We start from the raw sequence: 24,003 nt of genomic DNA on the forward strand, positions 1-24,003 counted from the left end.
TTTTCTGTTCCTGTGTTAGTTTGCTGAGGTTGATGGCTTCCAGCTTCATCCATGGCCCTGCAAAGGACATGATCTCATTCTTTTTTATGACTGCTTAATATTCCATGGTGTATATGTACCACATTTTCTTTATCCATTTTCATTGACGGGCATTTGGGTTGGTTCCATCTCTTTGCTATTGTAAATAGTGCTTCAATAAACATACATGTGCATGTGTCTTTATAGTAGAATGATTTATATTCCTTTGGGTATATACCCAGTAATGGGATTGCTTGGTCAAATGCTATTTTTGGTTCTAGATCCCTAAGGAATCACCACACTATCCTGCTCAATGGTTGAACTAATTTATATTCCCACCAAGAGTGAAAAAGCATTCTCACTTCTCCACAGCCTCGCCAGCATCTATTGTTCCTTGACTTTTTAATAATCACCATTCTGACCGGAGCGAGATGGTATCTCCTTGTGATTTTGATGTGCATTTCTCTAAGGATCAGTGATGATGAGCTTTTTTTCATGTTTTTTGGCCATATAAATGTCTTCTTTTGAGAAGTGTCTGTTCACATCCTTTGCCCACTCTTTTTTTTTTTTTTTTTTTCCTGAGATGGAGTTTCGCTCTTGTTGCCCAGGCTGGAGTGCAATGGCACAGTCTCGGCTCGCTGCAACGTCCGCCTCCCGGGTTCAGGCGATTCTCCTGCCTCAGCCTCCTGAGTAGCTGGGATTATGGGCACGTGCCACCACACCCGGATAATTTTTGTATTTTTAGTAGAGACAGGGTTTTGCCATGTTGGCCAGGCTGCTCTTGAATTCCTGACCTTGGGTGATCTGCCTGCCTCAGCCTCCCAAAGTGCTGGGATTACTTTTTGATGGTTTTTTGTTTTGTTTTGTTTTGTTTTTGTAAATTTAAGTTCCTTGTAGATTCAGATATTAGACCTTTGTCAGATGGGTATATTGCAAAAATTTTCTCCCATTCTGTAGGTTGTCTGTTCACTCTGATGCTAGTTTCTTTTGCTGTACAGAAACTCTTTAGTTTAATTAGATCCCATTTGTCAATTTTGGCTTTTGTTGCAATTGCTTTTGGTGTTTTTGTCATGAAGTCTTCACCCATGCCTATGTCCTGAATGGTATTGCCTAGGTTTTCTTCTAGGGTTTTTATGGTTTAGGGTTTTACATTTAAGTCTTTAATCCATCTTGAGTTAATTTTTGTATAAGGTGTAAGGAAGGGGTTCAATTTCAGTTTTCTGCATATGGCTAGCCAGTTTTTCCAGCACCATTTATTAAATAGGGAATCATTTCCCCATTGCTTGTTTTTGTCAGGTTTGTCAAAGATCAGATGGTTGTAGATGTGTGGTGTTATTTCTGAGGTCTCTGTTCTGTTCCATTGGTCTATATCTCTGTTTTGGTACCAGTACCATGCTGTTTTGGTTACTGCAACCTTGTAGTATAGTTTGAAGTCAGGTAGGGTGATGCCTCCAGCTTTGTTCTTTTTGGTTAGGATTGTGTTGGCTATACAGATCTTTTCTGGTTCCATATGAAATTTAAAGTAGTTTTTTCTAATTCTGTGAAGAATGTCAATGGTAGTTTGATGGGAATAGCATTGAATCTATAAATTACTTTAGCAGTATGGCCATTTTCACGATATTGATTCTTCCTATCCATGAGGATGGAATGTTTTTCCATTTGTTTGTGTCCTCTCTTATTTCCTTGAGCAGTGCTTTGTAGTTCTCCTTGAAGATGTCCTTCATGTCTCTTGTAAACTGTATTCCTAGGTATCTTATTCTCTTTTTAGCATTTGTGAACAGGAGTTCATTCATGATTTGATGCTCTGCTTGTCTATTGTTGGTGTATAGGAATGCTTGTGATTTTTGCACATTGATTTTGTATCCTGAGACTGTGCTGAAGTTGTTTATTAGCTTAAGAAGTTTTGGGGCTGAGACAATGGGTTTTCTAAATATGGAATCATGTCTTCTGCAAACAGAGACAATTTACAATTTGACTTCCTCTCTTCCTATTTGAGTACCCTTTATTTCTTTCTCTTGCCTGATTGCCTTGGCCAGAACTTCCAATATTTTGTTGAATAGGAGTGGTGAGAGAGGGCATCCTTGTCTTGTGCCAGTTTTCAAAGGGAATGCTTCCAGCTTTTGCCCATTCAGTATGATATTGATTATGGGTTTGTCATAAATAGCTTTTATTATTTTGAGATATGTTCCATCAATACATAGATTATTGAGTTTTTGACATGAAGGGATATTGAATTTTATCAAAGGCCTTTTCTGCATCCATTGAGGTAATCATGTGGTTTTTGTCATTGGTTCTGTTTATGTGATGGATTACATTTATTGATTTGCATTATGTTGAACCAGCCTTGCATCCCAGGATTGAAGCTGACTTGATCGTGAGGTTGTAAGCTTTTTGATGTGCTGCTGGATTCCATTTGCCATTATTTTATTGAGGATTTTCACATCAGTGTTCATCAGGGATATTGGCCTGAAGTTTTCTTTTTTTGTTGTGTCTCTGCCAGGTTTTGGTATCAGGATGATGCTGGCCTCATAAAATGAGTTAGGGAGGAGTCCTGTCTTTTCAATTGTTTGGAATAGTTTCAGAAGGAATGGTACCAGCTCCTCTTTGTCCCTCTGGTAGAATTTGGCTGTGAATCCGTCTACTCCTGGGCTTTTTTTGGTTGGTAGGCTATCACTTCCTCAGTTTCAGAACTTGTTATTGATCTATTCAGCAACTTGACTTCTTCCTGGTTTAGTCTTGGGAGGGTGCGTGTGTCCAGGAATTTATCCATTTCTTCTAGATTTTCTAGTTTATTTGCGCAGAGGTGTTTATAGTATTCTCTGTTGGTAGTTTGTATCTCTGTGGGGTCAGTGGTGTGATATCCCCTTTATCATTTTTTATTGTATCTATTTGATTCTTCTCTCTTCCTTATTAGTCTAGCTAGCGGTCTATTTTGTTAATTTTTTCAAAAAACCAGCTCCTGGTTTCATTGATTTTTTGGAGGGTTTTTTGTTGTTGTTGTTTTGTTTTGTTTTTTTTGTCTCTATCTGCTTCAGTTCTGCTCTGATCTTAGTTTTTTTTTTTTTGTCTTCTGTTTTGGATTTGTTTGCTCTTGCTTCCCTAGTTCTTTTAATTGTGATGTTAGAGTGTCGATTTGAGATCTTTCCAGCTTTCTGATGTGGGCATTTAATGCTATAAATTTCCCTCTAAACACTGCTTTAGCTGTGTCCCAGATATTCTGATACGTGGTCTCTTTGTTCTCATGGGTTTCAAGAACTTCTTGATTTCTGCCTTAATTTTGTTATTTACCCAGGAATCATTCAGAAGCAGGTTGTTCAATTTCCATGTAGTTGTGTGGTTTTGAGTGAGTTTCTTAATCCTGAGTTCTAATTTTATTGCACTGTGGTCTGAGAGACTGTTTATTATGATTTTAGTTCTTTTGCATTTGCTGAGAAGTGTTTTACTTCCAATTATATGGTCGATTTCAGAATAAGGGCCATGTGGCACTGAGAAGAATGTACATTCTGTTGATTTGGGGTGGAGAGTTCTATAGATGTCTATTAGGTCCACTTGATCCAGAACTGGGTTCAAGTCCTGAATATCCTTGTTAATTTTCTGTCTTGTTGATCTGTCTAATATTAACAGTGGGGTGTTAAAGTCTCCCACTATTATTGTGAGGGAGTCTAAGTCTCTTTGTAGATCTCTAAGAACTTGTTTTATGAATCTGGGTGCTTCTGAATTGGGTGCATATATATTTAAAATAGCTCTTCTTGTTGCATCGATCCCTTAAATGCCCTTCTTTGTCTCTTTTGATCTCTGTTTGTTTAAAGTCTGTTTTATCAGAGCCTAGGATTGAAACTCCTGCTTTTTTTTTTCTTTTTCTTTTTTTTTTTTTTTGGCTTTCCATTTGCTTGGTAAATTTTCCTCCATCCCTTTATTTTGAGCCTATGTATGTCTTTGCACGTGAGATGGGTCTCCTGAACACAGCACACCAATGGTGCTTGACTCTTTTTCCAATTTGCTAGCCTGTGTCTTTTAACTGGGGCATTTAGCCCATTTACATTTAAGGTTAATATTGTTATGTGTGAATTTGATCCATCATCATAATGCTAGCTGGTTATTTTGCACGCTAGTTGATGCCGTTTCTTCATAGTGTCATTGGTCTTTATATTTCGGTGTGTTTTTGCAGTGGCTGGTACCAGTTTTTCCTTTCCATATTTAGTACTTCCTTCAGGAGCTCCTGCAAGGCAGGCCTGGTGGTGATGAAATCCCTTAGCAATTGCTTGTCTAGAAAGGATTTTATTTCTCCTTTGCTTATTGAAGATTGGTTTGGCTGGATATGAAATTCTGGGTTGAAAATTATTTTCTTTAACATGTTGAATATTGGCCCCCACTCTCTTCTGGCTTGTAGGGTTTCTGCCCAGAGATCCACTGTTAGTCTGATGGGCTTCCCTTTGTAGGTGACCTGACCTTTCTCTCTGGCTGCCCTTAACATTTTTTCCTTCATTTCGACCTTGGAGAATCTGACGATTATGTGTCTTGGGGTTGATCTTCTTGTGGAGTATCTTAGTGCTGTTCTTTGTCTTTCCCGAATTTGAATGTTGGCCTGTCTTGCTAGATTAAGGAAGTTCTCCTGGATAATATCCTGAAGTGTGTTCATTCTATTCTTCCTGTCTCTTTCAGGTACTCCAGTCAATTGTAGGTTTGGTCTTTTAACGTATTCCCCTATTTCTAGGATGCTTTGTTCATTCCTTTTCATTCTTTTTTCTCTAATCTTGTCTGCATGCCTTATTTCAGCAAGGTGGTCTTCAAACTCTGGTATCCTTTCTTCTGCTTGATCGATTCAGCTATTGGTACTTGTGTATGCTTCATGAAGTTCTCATGCTGTGTTTTTCAGCTCCATCAGGTCATTTATGTTTCTCTCTAAACTGGTTATTCTAGTTAGCAGCTCCTGTAATCTTTTATCAAGGTTCTTAGCTTCTTTATATTGGGTTACAACATGCTACTTTAGCTCAGCAGTTTGTTATTACCCACCTTCTGAAGCCTACTTCTGTCAATTGGTCCATCTCATCCTCTGTCCAGTTCTGCACCCTTGCTGGAGAGGTGTTGCGATCATTTGGAGGAGAAGAGGCATTCTGGCTTTTGGAATTTTCAGCATTTTTGCACTGGTTTTTCCTCATCTTCATGGATTTATCTACCTTTGGTCTTTGAGGCTGATGACCTTTGGATGGAGTTTTTGCGTGGGCATCCTTTTTGTTGATGTTGATGTTACTGCTTTCTGTTTGTTTGTTTTTCTTCTAACAGTCAAGCCCCTCTTCTGCAGGTGTGCTGCAGTTTGCTGAAGATCTACTCCAGACCCTGTTCTCCTGGGTATCACCAGTGGAGACTGCAGAACAGCAAAGATTGCTGCCTGCTCCTTCCTCTGGAAGCTTTGTCCCAGAGGGGCACGGGCCTGATGCCAGCCAGAGCTCTCCTGTATGAGGCGTCTGCCGACCCCTGTTGGGAGGTCTCTCCCAGTCAGGAGTCACAGGGGTCAGGAACCCGTTTGAGGAGGCAGTCTGTCTCTTAGCAGAGCTGGTGCGCTGTGTTGAGAGAATCTCCCTTGTCAGGATCAGCTGCTCTCTTCAGAGCCGGCAGGCAGGAAAGGCTAAGTCCACTGAACCTGCGACCACAGCCGCCCCTCCCCGCAGGTGCTCTGCCCCGAAGAGATGAGAGTTTTTGTCTGTAAGCCCCTGCCTGGAGCTGCTGTATTTCCTGCAGCGATGCCCTGCCCAGTGGGGAGGAATCTAGAGAAGCAGTCTGGCCACAGCCGCTTTGCTGCACTGTAGGGAATTCCATCCAGTCCAGACTTCCCAGTCTCCTTAGCACTGTCAGGGGAAAACCACCTACTAAAGCCACAGTAATGGCCATCGCCCCCCTTCCCACCAAACTCAATCATCCCAGTCCAACTCCAGACTGCTGTGCCCTCAGTGAGAATTTCAAGCCAGTGGTTCTTAGCTTGCTGGGCTCCATGGGAGTGGGACCTGTTGAGCGAGACCACTTGGCTCCCTGGCTTCAGCCACCTTTCTAGGGGAGTGGACGGTTGTCCTGTCTCACTGGAGTTCTAGGTGCTGCTGGACAATGAAAAAATCCTGCAGCTCAGTGCCTGCCCAAACAGCTGCCCAGTTTTGTGCTTGAAACCCAGGGCGCTAGTGGTGTAGACTCAGGAGGGAATCTCCTGATTCGTGGATCACAAAATTCCGTGAAAAAAGTGTAGTACCCCGGGCAGGTAGCACAGTCCCTCACTGCTTCCCTTGGCTAGGGGAGGGAGGTCTCGGGCTCTGTGCACCTCCTAGGTGAAGCGACGCCCCACCCTGCTTCTGCAGCTTTCAGTGGGTCACACCCACTACCTAACCAGTCCCAATGAGAGGAACTGGGTACCTAGGTTGGAAATGCAGAATCACCCCCGCCTTCTGCATTGGTCTCGCTGGGAGCTACAGACCGGAGCTGTCTATTTTCAGTTTTTCTTGGGAGAATGGTTTTGAAATATCACAAGATGTTTCCCAGTCATTACCTAAGACATCATCACCACAGCACCCAGGGTTTTCTTTAGTTTTACTTTCTCAAAAGTTTGGATACCATTTACTTCTGGATGAGAACCATTCCTTTTAAGCCAAAGATTTAATAGGCACAGAGTGAATGGTTGTGTTTGTCATATCCACAGTAGATCTAAAAAGGCTCAAATGTAAGAATTTATCTCTCCTGAGAAGACGGTGGTAGAAATTGACAGGCATATAGTATCTCCACCATTTTTTAACTAAGCAAATACTTTACAGTGTGGGTAACTCCTAGTTAGAACACACGATTTTGTTACATAATAGCCAGTTTACGTACAACCTAAAAGCAATACTTTGGACCACACAGCTATGCTTCATTGTGATGTTCTGTGACCCAAACTGGTTTCCAAGCTGCTGTGAATGCGTCTCCCATTTTCTTGTATGACTGTCCTGCATTCCACAAAGCCAAAAAAGAAAAAAGTGGATTTATGTATAGAAGTGCCCCCAAACCCAATATGTATGTGCTTGTAGGCCTAAACTTATTATAAGCTTTGGAAAACCTAGAATGAGAGCTCCTGAACAGTTGTAGCTTTCCAAGCTGTGCCAGTATGGGCTTCCGCTCCCTGGTTGACTCCCGTTTTCCATGGGAGTCCTTTTATGTAGTTTTCCTTCTTAAGGAAAGAGAGAGGAGAATAGAAAAGGTGACAATGGTATGAGACGTGGTCCCTCTTGCCTTCAAGATATTTTAAGAATATTCATGTGTCTGGGCCCGGGTGCGGTGGCTCACACCTGTAATCTCAGCACTTTGGGAGGCCGAGGCGGGCAGATCACCTGAGGTCAGGAGTTTGAGACCAGCCTGGCCGACATGGTGAAATCCCATCTCTACTAAAAATACAAAAATTAGCCAGGCGTGGTGGCAGGTGCCTGCAATCCCAGCTACTTGGGAGGCTGAGGCAGGAGAATCACTTGAACCCAGGAGGCGGAGGTTGCAGTGAGCTGAGATCGCGCCATCACACTCTAGCCTGGGGGACAAGAGCGAGACTTCGTCTCGGGAAAAAAAAAAATATTCATATGTTCTTCAAGTCACTTGTTCCTGTTTTTAAAATAGCATGCTGAGGGATTTGGTCATATCATTAGCCCAGACATAGCCTGACAAGACCAGCCCTTGTGTAATGAGATTGGTTTGAGGTAGGAACTGTACTTGCTTTCTATGATGGGCAAGAGGAGACCCCAGGCTCTGGATGGGAAGCTGAAGGCTGACCAAGGGTGGATGAGGCAGAGGGCCTGCGAAGGGGACTCCACAGAGGCCACACGCAGGACAAGAGCAGCACTCTACTCCAGGCTTCATCCATCGTATGGAGGTCTGTGGTCATTTCACCCATTCATCTTGCTCCTCTGGAGAACCCAAACCCCGGAAACCACAAAGGGAATCGACTGCTGCTTCACAGGAAGGGTTTCATTCATGATCACATTTCTTTACTGAAAAAGATGGGTATATTGAAGCGTTGACTGCCTCCTCAAGAAGAAACAGGAAGTGATCATTACCAAACAGAGGCTCCCTTTAAATTTAAAATATGTAGCCAAGAAAGAGGCTAACACTACCTAAGAAAGACCCCAATTAAATGTTTAAGCTAAAAAAAGCAGAGGGTTGGGGATAGGGCATGTTTTTGTTTTGTCTTCCAATTTCAGTGTTTTTAAAGGCTGAGCACCAACTATGGGCGAAGCACAGGAGTCAAAAGTAACTTTACTCCTAAAATATCATATCATTATCCTTTTTTTTTTTCTTGCTCTGTCGCCCAGGCTGGAGTGCAGGGGTGCAATTTGGGCCCACTGCAACCTCCAACTCCCAGGTTCAAGTGATTCTCCTGCCTTAGCCTCCTGAGTAGCTGGGACTACAGGTGCATGCCACCACACCCAGCTAATTTTTTGTATGTTTTAGTAGAGGCAGGGTTTCACCATGTTGGCCAGGCTGGCTGAAGTGCTGGGATTAGGCGTGAGCCATCATGCCCAGCCTCATCTAACGATCTTTAAGTTATTCTAATGGAGCTCTATAGAGAGGGGTATTCTGAATCCATTAAGTTAGGTCTTGCCTTAATCCAAAAAAATAAACTAAAGCTGTCTGCATATTTTTAAGGCAGTATATTACATATAAATGAGGAAATCAGCATGAAGGGAAAGTAAGGCAGGAGGGAAAAGACAAAGCCAGAGGTAAAGTTAGGAGCCTTACACATGCCCTGAGGTCTTCTAGACTTTACTAGGACTAAAGGAGAAAAAATGACCTCTGTGCTTCCTAGTAGCCAACAGAGAGGAAAGTACAACCAGCCCTCTGTATCTGAAGGGTCTACATCTACAGATCAACCATGTATCAAAAATATTTTTAAATAAATAGAAAATAATACAAATTTTTAAAAAATACAATATTAGAACTACATATAGTCCCTGATATACAATGGTTAAACTTACAATTTTTGGTCTTTATGATGAGTTTATCAGGATATTGAATGCATTTTCAACTTATGAAATTTTTGACTTAAAAATGTGTTTATTGAGAAGCAACCTCATTATAAGTGAGAGCATCTGTACTTAACATTTACATCGCATTAGGTATTATAAGTAATCTAGATATGATTTAAAGTATATGGGAGAATGTGTGAGGGTTGTATGCAAATACCATACCAGTTTTTACTAGGGACTTGAACATCCGTGGATTTTGGTATTTGCAGGAGCAGTGTGTGTGCGGATGGGGGTGGGTGGAGGAGGGGTCCTGTTTAAACAAATCAGTTACTTGGGAGCACAGATATTTCTTGGCGTTACCTCCTAGGAAGAAATTGAATGATGTAGGGAGCCTGACCTCAACAACATCTCACAGCAAATACAGTAACACTGTAATAGGACTGCTTCCAACTATCCCTGATGATATAATGCCAAGATGTGGTTCAGTCGAAAGCAATCTACCAGGGACTGGAGCTGTCTGTGCATGTAAACAGCTCCTGGGAGGTCAGGCTTCATCCCAGGATAAACTATAGAATCATAGGGCAGTGATGGGGGCGAGGGGAAGGGTACTGCAAGTGCTACTCCCTGCAGCCTAAGTTTAGTAAATACTGAATGGCAGTGTGACCTTGGCAACTACTAAAGGACAGACACTGAATGCTGCTGATCAACACCCGGTTCCTTTCCCAACAGTCAGCACATGGAGGGGAGGGGCTGTTCTCAGGCTACAGGCTGAGGAGCCCGGCCAGGCCACAAGCCACAGGCCACCCCACCCCTGGCAGGTGGGAGGAGGGGTGCCAGGGTCCGGGTCACACTTTTCCCCAGAAGCATCATAAGGGTTTGACTTTTGTGAGTCTGTTTTGCGTTTGGTTTTGGTTTTTCAATTATCCTTGGCAATTCACTGATAGGGAAATTTTCAGTGTAGATTATAGATATGAAGCTATTAGCTGTTCCACACTCCTGTAAGCCTTAAAATTGTCCTGGAGAAAGCCCACTGACAGATGGTATGCTTCCTAAGTCAAAACACAAGTCTGTAGGGGAAAAGAGAGTATTTTAATAAAAATCTTATTATATCTATAAAACCCTTTACAGGTTGCAAAATGGCTTCAAAGATGATAATTATTAGAGGAGAAAGAGAACAGGCTTTGAAAATTACCTAACTGGATTCCAATTCCAGCTACACCACTTCTACCTGTGTCCTTTTAAATAAATTACACATAATTTCTGAGCCTCAGTTTCCTCATCTGAACATATAGATGATACCTACCTTGCACAGTTGTTTTGAAAAATAAGTGAAGATGGTGTGTATAAAGTACCTTGCACATAGTCGATACTTAATAAATGGTGGCCAGGCGTGGTGGCTCACACCTTAATCCCAGCACTTTGGGAGGCCAAGGTGGGCGGATCATTTGAGGTTAGGAGTTTGAGACCAGCCTGGCCGACATGGTGAAACCCCATCTCTACTAAAAAAATAATAATACAAAAATTGGCTGGGTGTGGTGGCATGCGCCTGTAATCCCAGCTACTCAGGAAGCTAAGGCATGAGAATCGAACCCAGGAGGCGGAGGTTGCCGTGAGTCGAGATTGCGCCACTGCACTCCAGCCTGGGTGAGAGTGTGAGACTCTGTCTCCAAAACAAAAGGCCGGGCACAGTGGCTCACGCTTGTAATCTCAGCATTTTGGGAGGCCGAGGTGGGCGAATCACAAGGTCAGGAGATCGAGACCAGCCTGGCCAATATGGTGAAACCCTGTCTCTACTAAAAATACAAAAAATTAGCTGGGCATGATGGTGGGCGCCTGTAATCTCAGCTACTCGGTACGCTGAGGCAGGAGAATTGCTTGAACCTGGGAGGCAGAGGTTGCAGTGAGCAGAGATCGTGCCACTGCACTCCAGCCCAGGTGACAGTGTGAGACTCTGTCAGAAAGAAGAAAGGAAAAGAAAGGAAGGGAAAGGAAGAGAAGGGAGGGGAGGGGAGGGGAGGGGAGGGGAGGGGAAGGGAAGGGAAGGGAAGGGAAGGGAAAAAGAAAGGAATGGAAAAGGAAAAGGAAAGGACAAAGAAAGCAAAGTTAGCTATTACTACTAATTTTGGCTTCAATAGCAATCCTGTGAGGGAGGTAGTACAGATATTACTGATATTATAATAATAATCTTCTTAGCCTGATGCTAAACATTTCAACACCGCCCACTGCTTTCACTGCCCTGCAGCAAGAGCAGTCCTAGGCAGCCACATGTTACGTGGTTCAGAGTGGGCGTCTAACCCAGGGCCAGTCAGTATTAGGGTTTTCAAGTGACCACATGGTCTGCCTCTCTGATGGCAATTAGATCCTCCCTCTGCTCTCCCCTTCCCTCTCATTTGCACTAAGGATTGAGAACCTTAGCAGTGAATACCAGAGCTTGAAAGGATGCACAGGGAACGAAGCCACGAGGAAGGATCACAGCATGCTGATGTTATATATGAGCAGTTGCTCTGAAATAGAAAAAAGGTGAAAGTGGTCAAAAGAAAAGAGAGGCCTGGGCACAGGGACTCCCACCTGTAATCCCAGCACTTTGGGAGGCTGAGGCAGGAGGATTGCTTGAGGCTAGGAGTCTGAGACCAGCAATGTCAACATAGCAAGACCCTGTTTCTACAAAAAATGTAAAAATTAGCTGGGTGTGGTGATGCACACCTGTAGTCCTAGCTACTTGGGAGGCTGAGGCAGGAGGATGGCTTGAGCACAGGAGATTGAGGCTGCAGTGAGCTATGATTGTGCCACTGCACTTCAGCCTGGGAAGCAGAGCAAGACCCTGTCTCTAAAAAAAAAAAGAAGAAAAAGCAAACACTCAGGAAAGAACCAAGGAAGGTTTTAAATACGATTTTCTGGAATCTAGTTGACCAGATTTATAGAGCTCACATTTATGTGTAATTAACATAAGTCAGAGGTAACTTAAATGAGTCGCTTCCTTGCAACCCAACACATTCTCATGAAGTGAGGTTCTCGAAAGGGAATAACTTTCCCAAGTTGATAGAACAGAAGGGACCTTCAAGACAATCCAATACCAAGCCCAGCTGAGCACCTAGATGACAGCTAGCATCACCTGCCAGCCCTGTGCGGGAAGAAGCCAACTTGGACATCCAGCCCCCTTGGGCCTTCAGATGACTCCGAGCATCTGTCCATCTGACAGCAACCACAGGAGAGACCTCAAGCAAGAACTGCCCCGCTATCCCATGGAACCATAAGAGAATAATAAATTGGTTCAAGTCACTAAGTTTAGGGTGGCTTCTTGTGACACAGCAATAGATAACTAGAACAATGTAGTTGACAGTGAAGGATAGATTTCATTTTGTTATTTTATACAGGCATTTTGCAAAAAGAATGTGAATTGAGTCACATTTATGCTGTAACAGCTGTGAAATAATTTGAGCATATCACTTTGGTGAGCTTCATAAAATTAAGTGTAAAATGAGGGAATGAGACTAGGTAATCTTTGACATCCCTTCTGGCACTTAAAAATTCTGATTCCCAATAAACTACACAATGAAAAACAACATGGCCCCCAGGGGATAGTTACCTGAGCTAGGCAGAACTTTCCTACCCTAGAAGCGGAGGATAGGAGGGGTGGGGAGCAGGAGGATAGGAATCAAATGCAAGTATTTTTTATAGGCTGCTTCCCAGCACATAGTAGATGCCCAAAAAAGTTGTTTGAATGAAATGTCCCTTTCCTGGGTGCTTTGATTTAATTTGTTTTTCTCACTCAGTTATTTGATCTGAGGTCACTTCCCATGCAAATGAAATAAGAAAGAGGAATCAGAAACACAGACAGGTCCTAAGTGAATTTTTGACATAAATGAGTTTTTAAATGATCTCCATGTTGTTCCTTCACTCTCCTCTATCGACTTGTACTGAAGTTCCCAGAGTGTTCCAGGCAATGGGCATGTCTAAGTAACCTGTTGCCTCTTGGGTTATCCCACTCAGGGGGCTGAGCAGGTGGAAGCCACAGAGAAGTCACACATTATATACAACACTCATTCTTCATACAACCCCGTCTCTGCAATAAGGAAGTGGCCACATCTGCCTCCACCTCATCTGTGGCACTTTATTTTCCACTTCCTGAAAAGAAACAAAGCATCATATATTTACCATGCACACTGTCATGGCCATTACTCAGTTTGTGATGCAATGGATGGGACAAGTGTCGACTCCTCCAGCCTTTCCAGAGACCCTGTAACTGCAGAGAGGACCATAGGGCCAGGAGAAACAGGGCCAGTGAGAGACTCTGATGTCACTCCTCAGACCAACATCACTCTGCGCTGTTCAACAGCAAACAAGCACATACTATGATGACAAGGGAGGTAACTAGGCTAAAAGAAGCTCATTAAAAATCAACTTTATCTATAAAAATTTCCTCTTCTTCCTGCCCTGCTCTCTCCCCACAACTTCCTTCTCCTGAAAATACCTTCGTTAAACTAAGGACTAGAAAACCTGGGTTATTTCCAAAGGGAAGGTCATGGGAAACGCTTCCTTTGGACAGTTTTCTTCATTGGTTATAATTTAAAAAACAGCTCAGGGGTAATTTAAAACACATATTTTACTGGACATGCTGTTCACTTTCAACACAGAAATCATGCTATATACCTTTCTCCGTATTCCCAACTTCTGAATATCCAAGGAGGAAATCCAGTCATTGCCTCATTCATGAGGATAATGGCTCCCAATTGCCCAGTGAGAACCCATAGCACACTCTGCTTTAGCCACCTCTAATGATAACTAAGGCAGTGACCCACTGATGGTCTATTCTCTGCTCCTTCCGACATGCACTGAGTCATTCTTCTACCAGCACAGTGAGTAAGGACTCGTATTTTAAGTGTGCAAGTTGTTGGGTTATTTACTGAAACTTACTCAGCTTCCTTCTCTGGAACCTAGAGACAATAGCAGTAGTCTTGTTGTATGCCCACAGCCTGGTATACAATAGGTGCTCAATGAATAATAGTGTCATACATGTGCAGGGCACAGTGTCTCATGCCTGTAATCACAGTGCTTTGGGAGGCTGAGGCAGGAGTATTGCTTGAGGCCAGGAGCTGGCCAACTAGCCTGGGCAACGTAGTGAGATCCCATCTCTAAAAATACAATAATAATAATAATAATAATCAACTAGCCAGTCATGGTGGCATGCACCTGTAGTCCTAGCTACTCTGAAGGCTGAGCCAGAGGTTCAAGGCTGCAGTGAGCCTTGATCAAGCCATTGCACTGCAGCCTGAGTGATCTCTTAAAAAAAAAAAAAGTTACATACATGAGCACAGTGTATAATTAACTACCTACATATAATTACTAGTGAGATTATTTAGCTAATTTCTTTTCTTTTCTTTTTTTTTTAATAGAGACAGGGGTCTCACTATTGTTTAGGCTGGTCTTAAACTCCTGGCCTCAAACAATCCTTTCACCTCAGCCTTCCAAAGTGCAGAGATTACAGGTGTGAGCCACTGCACCTGACCCGTTTGGCTAATTTCTAACCTTTTACTGCTAAACTCCATGCACCATCACCATGTAGACTATGTCTGCCTGGCTCACCATCCTATCCTTAGCAACTAGCACACTTAACTAATACAAAGAAGGTGCACAATATACTTATGAATGAATGGAATGAAAAGTGCCTAGATGTAAGGTTGCTAAGAGGATGTAATAAAATAATACATGCAAAGAGCTTATTATTGTGCCTGGCACATAGTTGTACATTGTTGCCTACTGCAATTAGTGGTGGTGATGGTGGTATTGGTATAATTTCTCTCAGTCCATACCCAAACTAAAGTGTGATGTGCAAGAGAGATACTCTCTCTGTTCTCCAGAGACAGCCACCCAGAGATAGCCCCTATTCTACTGCTCCTTATTAGGCCCCCAGCACAACCATTAGCACTTCTAGCTCTAAATTCCTGCCTCCCCTTCCCACAGTTCATCCGCCTGCCATATATTCAACTTTCTAATGTATGTTGAGTCCCCAGAAGAATAAAGACTTTCATGGCTAACTGCTAGGTGGTAAGCTTTCTGCGCAACACTAGGCACTGGATCTACAGTGCTTTTTGGATCTACACATGGTCTCTTTTGACAGAAGTGGATTGGAGATCATCAGTCACCTACTATTGTTTTAGAAGTCAGAAGTACCTTGCCTCAGGTCACTACACATTTCTTCTGAAGGGGTTAGATCTTCTCTTTTAACACATTATGTTGTGATTGCTGGTGCTGAAGACTGTGTTCACCCTAGGGCATGATTTTAGGGGTGGGACCATTTTGTCCACGAATTTAATGTCCCCAGCACCTAGCAGTTTTGAGCACATAACAGAACTTGGTTTACCAAATAAAAATAAAAGAGAGAAGGGAAAAGGTGCAGTGGTGAAGTTTAACATCAGAGTTATTTCCTGTATATTCATTTTTCTCTCCATTAACACAGAGAACAAAAATTTAATTTTACATCAGAGAAAATTTACAATCCAGGTGGTCAGAACAAGAGAGATGAAAATGCAGAATTGCAGAGAGCCATGAAGCGTAACTTGACTCTCATGAGCATGGAAGTTTAACATCATGACTTTTAAAAATCTGTCATTTAACATATGATGTGTTTTCAAGCTTCAGAGACTGAATTCCATCAATGAATATTATATTCTGACTGCATGCTTGTGTTTGATTTTGAACTTTCCTTATATAAACCTCAAAACCAAAATTGAAAAGCCGTGTACAAGAAAAATAAAATGTCAAGTTAGAAAAAGATTTAGCAACACTGTACATCAATGATTTCAAATGTGATTCTGAGACCCTTGGGGAGTCCCCAAGAGCTTATTAGGAAATCTTCCAAGTCAAAATTATTTTCCCAATGAGCCTGAGATGTTATTTGCCTTTTTCATTCTTATTCTTTCACCAGTGTACAGTGGATCTTTTCCAAGGTTACGTGAGGTGTGATATCACAGCAAATAGTATGCAGAAGCAGATATCACAGTCCAACTGTCTAACAGTCCAACTGGCAGAAAAGTAGTGCTTCTAGCAGTCAAGAGCAGCCACGTTGAGATTGGTGAAGTCAATGAACCCAGTGCTGGATGGCAGGTACTAAAGGTGGAGATGTCCTGCCGATATCAAGATACAGAACTGCAGTGGAGGTGAGTGGTCAGAACCAGTGATGTGGATTTAAAGGTTAGTCCTCTGTAATGACAAGTAGCACCCCAGCAGTGAATAATCCTACGGAGTAATGAATGCAAAACATGGAGCTGTCCAAGGCAGAAGCTGTGGGAACTGGCACATTTTGGAGCAGGAGATAAATAAGAACCTAGATGTTGGGAAAGACTCACTGAGCGACCAGCTATGCAGGGCCCTGAAAAAAGTACCTTGGCATGACATAGCTGATAGACAGAAGGAAGGACAAAAGAGAGAAAGATGGAAACCAGAGGGGACAGCTTCAAGGAAGATTAGTCAACAATATCAAAGTCACATGAAAGACGCGAATGGTAAATTCCGATAAGCTAATGGATTTGACAAGAATTGGGTCATTGTCAGCTTCAAAAGAGAATTTTTAGTAAAGTAATGAGGTCAAAACAGCACATGAAAACTGCATGGGGAAAAGTCTAAAAGCAGAGCCCAGCACGGTGGCTCAACTCTGTAATCCTAGCACTTTGGGAGGCCGAGGCAGGAGGATTGCTTGAGCCCAGGAGATCCAGGCCACAGTGAGCTATGATGGCATCACTGCACTCCAGCCTGGACAACAGCATGAGATCTTGTCTGTAAGTTTTAAAACTTTTTAAAAATAAAACCATCTAAAAGCAAAAGGAAAAAAATAAAAGGGATACAAAACCCAGGAAAGAAAGATTTTTGGTTTAAACCAAGACTGTATACGGACATGAAGGCAATCCCCAAGGACCTCAGAGCCACTGAAGGTGCTGAAGGCAAAGGGAGGGTACCAAGGTATCTTGTGGGTACCAGGACACAGACTCTTCTCTTAAAAACACCCTGCTCATAAGACTACTTCCTGGTCCATCAAAACAGAATCCTAAGGAATCCTATTATTCACCAGTCAGCAAATATTAGGATGATGATGTAATGGTTAAAAGATCTACTCTAGTCAGATATCATTTAAAAGGCAACATTCAGATTTGAATAGGTCTTTTCTTGACATGAAGTACAAATAATAAAAATCCAAGTATCAGAATTTCATGTAGGAAAATAAATTGCTATGACAACCACAACTCAGTCTCCACAGAAAATATAAATAGGAACCAGAATGAGAAAATTATAGAGAATTTTTTCTGATTTGGAAACAATTTCAACTATGATTCTTTAATGTTTTGCTCATTTGGCTCTAATATGAGAACAAGAAAATATTCTTCTACTTCAATAGCTTCTTTGTATTACAAATTAAAATGACCAGACCAGCACGTATTGGAATGAAACTAGAAACCAACACCATCTAGTGACTTACTCCACCAAGATACCCCTGTTCCCTTCACTGCTAACTTCTAATATTTAAAGGACCACACCTAAAATTAAAGAATAACTTGCATCAAATGCATTATATTTATATTACAGGCCAAATAGTAAAAGCAGATAACAGGGGATATGAAATCACCGCATCTTCAACTGCCAGGTTATAAAGCTTCAAGTCAGTTGTAAAGGACCAAAGTTTCCTACCTTTTCTCCAGCATTTGCCTTTAACCATGACTATTCTGGACTCCTGCTATGAGGTTTGCTATTATTTGGATGACGAGAGAAGGCAGAGTAGGGCAGAGTCCAATATTCCCACTTCTCTCAGGATAACCAAGGCACTCCCTGGAGCCCACTCTCCCGAAGCCAGAACAACGAGACCTGCAAGCCCAGCTGGGGTCTCCAGGGATTCGATCTTTTGCACAGTGCTTTTGACTTAAGACATTTTCACTGCAAAGTGAGTGAGTGGGTTGCATATAGCTCTGTAATTAGCCAGGTTGTCCAATGCTGCCCAGGGCCCTTTAGAGTTCTGCCTCCGACCTGCCCTTGTATATGCCCTCTCTCAGCCCAGTGTCCTCAGATACAGTGCCCTCGTTTCAAGCCCAGTTTTTCTCTCCCTCCACTGGCATGCTTCTCATCTGGTCTGGCACCTTACTCAAGCTTTGGCCTCGATTCTGTCATTTAATCATCCATGGCTCTGTGCTGTGCAGCTCACGGGCCAAGCCAGCCCTGCTCTTCCCCTAAATGCATCTCCAGCTCCAGGAATCTGTTTGGAACTTCAAGCCACTTCCTTGTTGGGTGGAGTGGTTTGGACATGGAACAATTCTAACTACAGGCATTCTCCAACAGTACCGAGCTTCCTCCCATGGCGCCCAAGTTCAACACCTTCCCAAACAGAAGGAAAATGATTCACTGATTCAGTGTGCCTGACAAAAACAATCAGTACATGAGAGAACTTTTGATGCTGCTATTGAACCATAAGGAGAATCATCCCCTGTATTAGCCAAACTAATTAAAATCTGTCAGTTATGCCATAATAAATAAATTATAAATTAAAACACTAGTGTCACCATATTCAGAGTATATTTTGATAGATCTTCCATAAATAAACTTACATAACTTGTAATCATTAGCAGGTACAAATGTCAAAACATACAGGTCATCCGAATTAAGTTCAAGTTCTATGAATCCAAGATCTTTAGTTTTGAGAATCTTCTACATACCAACCCATATAAACTCCAAGTCTTAATATAGGATCATCAAAGCTCAGGGCATCCTAAGATAACTTCAGCCATCCCTAGCACCTGAAGGCCTGGGCAACATAGTAAGATCCCCATCTTTACTAAAAATTGAAAAAAAAAAAACACCCAAATAGCTAGTTGTGGTGGCATGCGCCTGTGGTCCCAGCTACTCAGGAGGCAGAGGTGGAAGGATTGCTTGAGCCTGGAGTTTAAGGCTGCAGCGTACCATGACAGTGCCACTGCACTCCAGCCTGGGAAACAGAGTGAGACTCTGTCTCAAAAAAGAAAAAAGATAGATAGCTAATAAATATGCAAGGTATATTCTGCCTGGATTTATCAAAGCAAGCCTGGTTCAAGGATTCACATCAAACTTTGGAGGAGCCTTTGCCAGGGAAATGACAGTAGTGAGGCCTTGAGATCCTTACTGACATTGGAGAAAACAACACCGGATATGAATATAAACATGGGATAAAGCCAAACATAAAGTAAGGACAAAAAACAAGAAGGCAGGAGACACCAAAGGGAGCAAAGCTTCCTGCAACCTATCTCTCTTCAGGCTTTTCTACAGATATGCCCTGCAAAGAGAAACATAGAAATTGGCATTAGAAGACTTTCTAGTGATCATGCTAACTCTCAGAAGTCTAACATGCTTTCACCTTTGCCACACAGAAGTATTTGAGCTAAATACCATCTTTTAAAAACCTCAGGATCAGGCCAGGCACAGTGGCTCATGCCTGTAATCCCAACGCTTTGGGAAGCAGAGGTGGGTGGATCACCTGAGGTCAGGAGTTCGAGACCAGCCTGGCCAGCATGGCAAAACCCCATCTCTACTAAAAATAAAAAAAAATTTAAAAAAATTACCCAGGCATGGTTGCAGGTGCTTGCAGTCCCAGCTACTTGGGAGGCTGAGGCAGGAGAATTGCTTGAATCCAGGAGGCGGAGGTTGCAGTGAGCCAAGATCACGCCATTGCACTCCAGCCTGGGTGACAGAGCAAGACTCCATCTCAAAAAAAGAATCAAGATCCCCATTGTTGAGCATACTCCGGTTTTCCTGCCTCAGGGCTCTTTCCCCTTCCACCTCTGATCTCCTAGCAACCAGTGAACAAGGTGCAAGCCAATAATGGAAAAGAAAAAGGAGGATGGGAGAAGTTCCGACATTGCCTTTAATCTGCTTCACTGCTCTTTGTTCCCACTAAGGCAGCAGGCCCGGCTGGGAACTACAGTTTGTCTTATGAAAGATCCCTCTTACTGGACACAGAACCTATGTCAAGCAGAATTTCATGAGATTCAGTGTCTTTTTTTTTTTTTTTAAACACACCATTGCTGGCTTGAAGGCTATGTCTTTTTCCAGAAGATCTAAGACGGAAACTGTGCCACACAGCTAGTGAGTTTCACAGCTGAGCTTCAAATTCAGCCCGATCAGAACCAACAGCTCCTTTTTCCTCTAGTCCCTTCTATTTTACCTTTTTAGGTTTAAATTTACCCGTAAATGCTGTGCAAAGTCTGCATAAAGGCAAGAAATGCACAGCAAGCTGACAGAAAAAAAACAGACATTTATAAATGAAGAGTTGTTTTAATTCCACAATAAGTTGTACCATAGTAAAAACAACAGAAATATTTTACTGTCTTATTATAACATAATATAGTTCGTGACTAGACACACTAAATTGCTCCCTGTAGCAGTAATGGCATCACTAACATAATAATTGGTGGTGTTATACATATATGTTATTTTAGAAGTACCAGCTACAGGTTGTTAAGGTTTTTTAAAACCAGATGCCCAGCATTCCTAATGAGAACATGATAGAAATCTTAAATTTCAAAGAAAATGTCAATGCCAAAACAATAAATAATTTTAAATGTTCCTCCCACAGAATACTGATTCTACATACCATGGCCAAGTGTACACATGTAATCATTAGCAGGTTCACGGGCGCACAATGGACCAGATGCGAATGGGACTCTAAATCGCTCATTTAAGAATTCTGCACATGTACCCCAGAACTTAAAGTATAATAAATAAATAAACTTAAAAAATAAAAATAATAAAAAAAAGTTTTTTTAAAAAGAATCAAGCTCTCCAGATGCTGTTGGTCCTGAAAGACTGAATCAAATCAACCAATAGAGCACGTACAGTGGGAAGGGGGATATGGATGTCATCCAGACCAAGTGCCCATTCGGCACATAAGTCTCCTTGTAAGATCCCCAACATTCAGTCACCTGGACGCATGCGAGAGTGAGGCTAGTCACCCAGTGACACTGACGCGGAGCTCAGTACATCCTGGAAGAGGCCACCGCTCCCCCTTTGAACAGCTCTGTTTCATAATTCGTTGTAACCATCAGAGTAAACAAATCAGTGATTGGTCTGAGGGCATGGCATTGAGTTTATTTTCCTCAGTAACACAAATAAACAAGAATGTCTCCAATCAAGTAAATCTAAAGGTAATTGTGACACGTATGTTTAGCCTAGTTGAAACAGATCAGGTAACTGGGCCAGCGAAGAAAGGATACCTAAACCATATGAATAAGCTCACATGAAGCATCCACATTATGCAGAGTTTTTGCCCTCTTAAATAAATTTGCCACCGACATTTAAAAAAAAAAAAACCCTCAGATTGCTGATTCAGTACTGATCAGCAAATGCAGCATTTCAGCCAAAGGAGCTGGGTTTCATCGTTTGTATTAGAGTCATTGGGTATAGTGGATCTTTCTCCAGCCAGCTGACCTAGAGAGGGGGGATGTGGCATGGAGCTGAAATTGGCAACGTGAAAGTTGCTGAACTGCTCATATGGTTTGTGCAATTCGCTGAAATAGTAGAAGAACTAGCTTTCTAGATAGAAAATATAGGCATTGTGTACTTGGAATGCGGAGTGTTAAAAAGTAATATCTTACCCATATTACAGGCTGCCCAGGTAATAAACTGACACTCATACCAGTTAAAAAAAAAAAAAAAACACATTTTAGAGAACCACTTTTTCAGTTCTTAAGCACTATTTTCATCTTTAATATTTTCGTTTGTTTTTCAGTGTCTTTTTCTCAGAGGGAAAGTTTCTCCCTGAAATAGTGGAACAGTTTAAGGGTTTGTAATCTAAGTAAATAACCTAAATATATCTTCTCCACATGTACATGCTCAAGATTACAACTTGTATTCTCTGAGTTTAATAAGCACTACAGTTTGACTGTTTCTCATTAAAAAGAGAATGGGAGTAAGGTAGAAATTCAATAACTGTTCAAGTAAAATACAGCCATCCTAACATCTGTATTATATTAGAGGAGACACAAGACAAAACATTGACTCTTGAGGTTAAATCTAAATTTCCTGCTGCAGTCCTGAAAGAGTTTGAGAATCTAGATCAAAAAAGCAACAAAGAAAATGGGACTAAAAATGTCTTCAAGCATATTTCAAAAGCTATTAAATGCCTACACTTAGTTATTTCCTAGAAGCACCAACTTAGTCAGCAACTACCCAATAGCCACAAACAAAAATAAATAAAAATTATGTGCCATGCTCAAATCCTTTTCCAAGTCAAAGAATATGCACCTGGAGTCTGGGTATCATAGAGGTGTCAAAGCACCTCCTCTGATTCTCATATCTCTTATGAGATGTTGTTGAATTTCCACATCTTCCTCTGTAATATATTTTTACATCACCCTTGAATTTCAAAAGATATTATTTCAGCCTCCTTTTGGAATTGACTGATCTTTAATTTTATAACTCACACTGCAAGAAGAAAATCCAAGCTCTCAATGGGTCAGAGGGCAATAAGCAAGACAGACTATCACGGCAAAAACTAAAGAGCACGAAACCATGACCAGGATTCAGGATATTCTGTCCTTAAGCCTGGCTTGCAAGTCTACAACCTCTTCCTTGTCAAACTGGGGAGGTAAACTGAGTTTTAAGGAAGTAATGTTGACCTACTGTGTGGCTATGTGGAAGCTTCTCTAAAATGCTGCCATTTATATATATATATATATATATATATATATATATATATAGAGAGAGAGAGAGAGAGAGAGAGAGAGAGAGAGAGAGAGAGAGAGAGACGAAGAGTTTGTTATTGTTATACTGAACTCAGAATGAAATAGCCTCTCATACCAAATTCCAGGGGAGAGTGAGGTGCATATTTCTAAACCTTGCACATTAGAAAAATTTTCTCAACCATGAAGATTCTGATTTAATCAAGGAACTGGGATTAGAAGGAGAGATTTACCATGAAGTCATTTTAGACAAGTCTTATATCAATTTTTTTTTTTTTTTTGATGGAGTTGTTGCCCAGGCTGGAGTGCAAGTGGCGGGATCTCGGCTCATTGCAACCTCTGCCTCCCAGGTTCAAGCAATACTCCTATCTCAGCCTCCCGAGTAGCTGGGACTACAGGCACATGCCACCACACCCGGGTAATTTTTGTATTTTCAGTAGAGACAGGGTTTCACCATATTGGTCAAGCTGGTTTCAAACTCCTGACAGGTGATCCACCTGCCTTGGCCTCCCAAAGTGCTGGGATTACAGACATGAGCCACCGCAGCCGGCTCTATATCAATTTATATTTCAGTTTCAGCATCTAAGAAATCTAGATTCTATGCTTGATCTTCAAGACCTTTTACTAATTTATTTATTGTCCTATCTCAACAGATTATTAGCTCTCCACTGGAGTCAAACACATCCTATCGCTATTCCTTCTACCTCACTGGTTACTCCTTCTCAGTCTGTTTTGCTGGTTTCTCCCCTTAATATTGGAAGGTCCCAGGGCTCAGCTCTTGGTTTTCTTCTCTGTCATTACTCACACCCTTGAGAGCTCATCCAATCTATGTATGCCCAGACTCTCAAATTTATATTTTCAGCTCAGACCTCTCTCCTGAACTCCAGACTTCCATCAACTGCCTATTTAAAACTCCAATTGGATGTGTAATAGACATCTCAAGCTTAACATGTCCCAAATTGAACTCCTGATTTCTCCCTAACCCATCCTGCAAACATACTACCCCTACAGGCCTCCTGTTCTCAGCTGATGACAGCTCCATCCTTATAGTTCCTCAAGACAAAAACCTTAGTGTCACGCTTGACTGTCGCACTCCACATCTGATCCATCAGAAAACCTGTTCTGGAGGCCAGAAATCTGAAGTCAAGGTGCTGGTGTTGCTTTAAGCCATCCAGTTTGTTCTGTTGTTACAGCAGCCCTAGGAAACTAATACACTCATTATTTGGGGGCCATAGATTGAGCTGAGACCTGGTTAGATATTCACATTTTGAAATTATGCAGGTTGTAACACATTCCCTGAAACTGAAGTTCTTCAACTGATTGTC

The 24,003-nt window shown here is 42.0% G+C and overlaps 2 annotated features.

Moving 5' to 3' along the window:
• Positions 5,652-6,152: an enhancer, noted in NCBI's record as "H3K4me1 hESC enhancer chr18:32731753-32732253 (GRCh37/hg19 assembly coordinates)". NCBI's record gives its function as "activates a minimal SCP1, AML or CMV promoter by ChIP-STARR-seq in naive H9 embryonic stem cells {active_cell/tissue: H9 hESC(naive)}" and the evidence as "EXISTENCE:reporter gene assay evidence [ECO:0000049][PMID:30033119]".
• Positions 7,775-7,874: an enhancer, noted in NCBI's record as "active region_13220". NCBI's record gives its function as "activates an Ori minimal core promoter by ATAC-STARR-seq in GM12878 lymphoblastoid cells {active_cell/tissue: GM12878}" and the evidence as "EXISTENCE:reporter gene assay evidence [ECO:0000049][PMID:35858748]".

This window comes from Homo sapiens, chromosome 18 (assembly GCF_000001405.40).
Source record: "Homo sapiens chromosome 18, GRCh38.p14 Primary Assembly".
In the NCBI taxonomy this organism is placed as follows: Eukaryota; Metazoa; Chordata; class Mammalia; order Primates; family Hominidae; genus Homo; species Homo sapiens.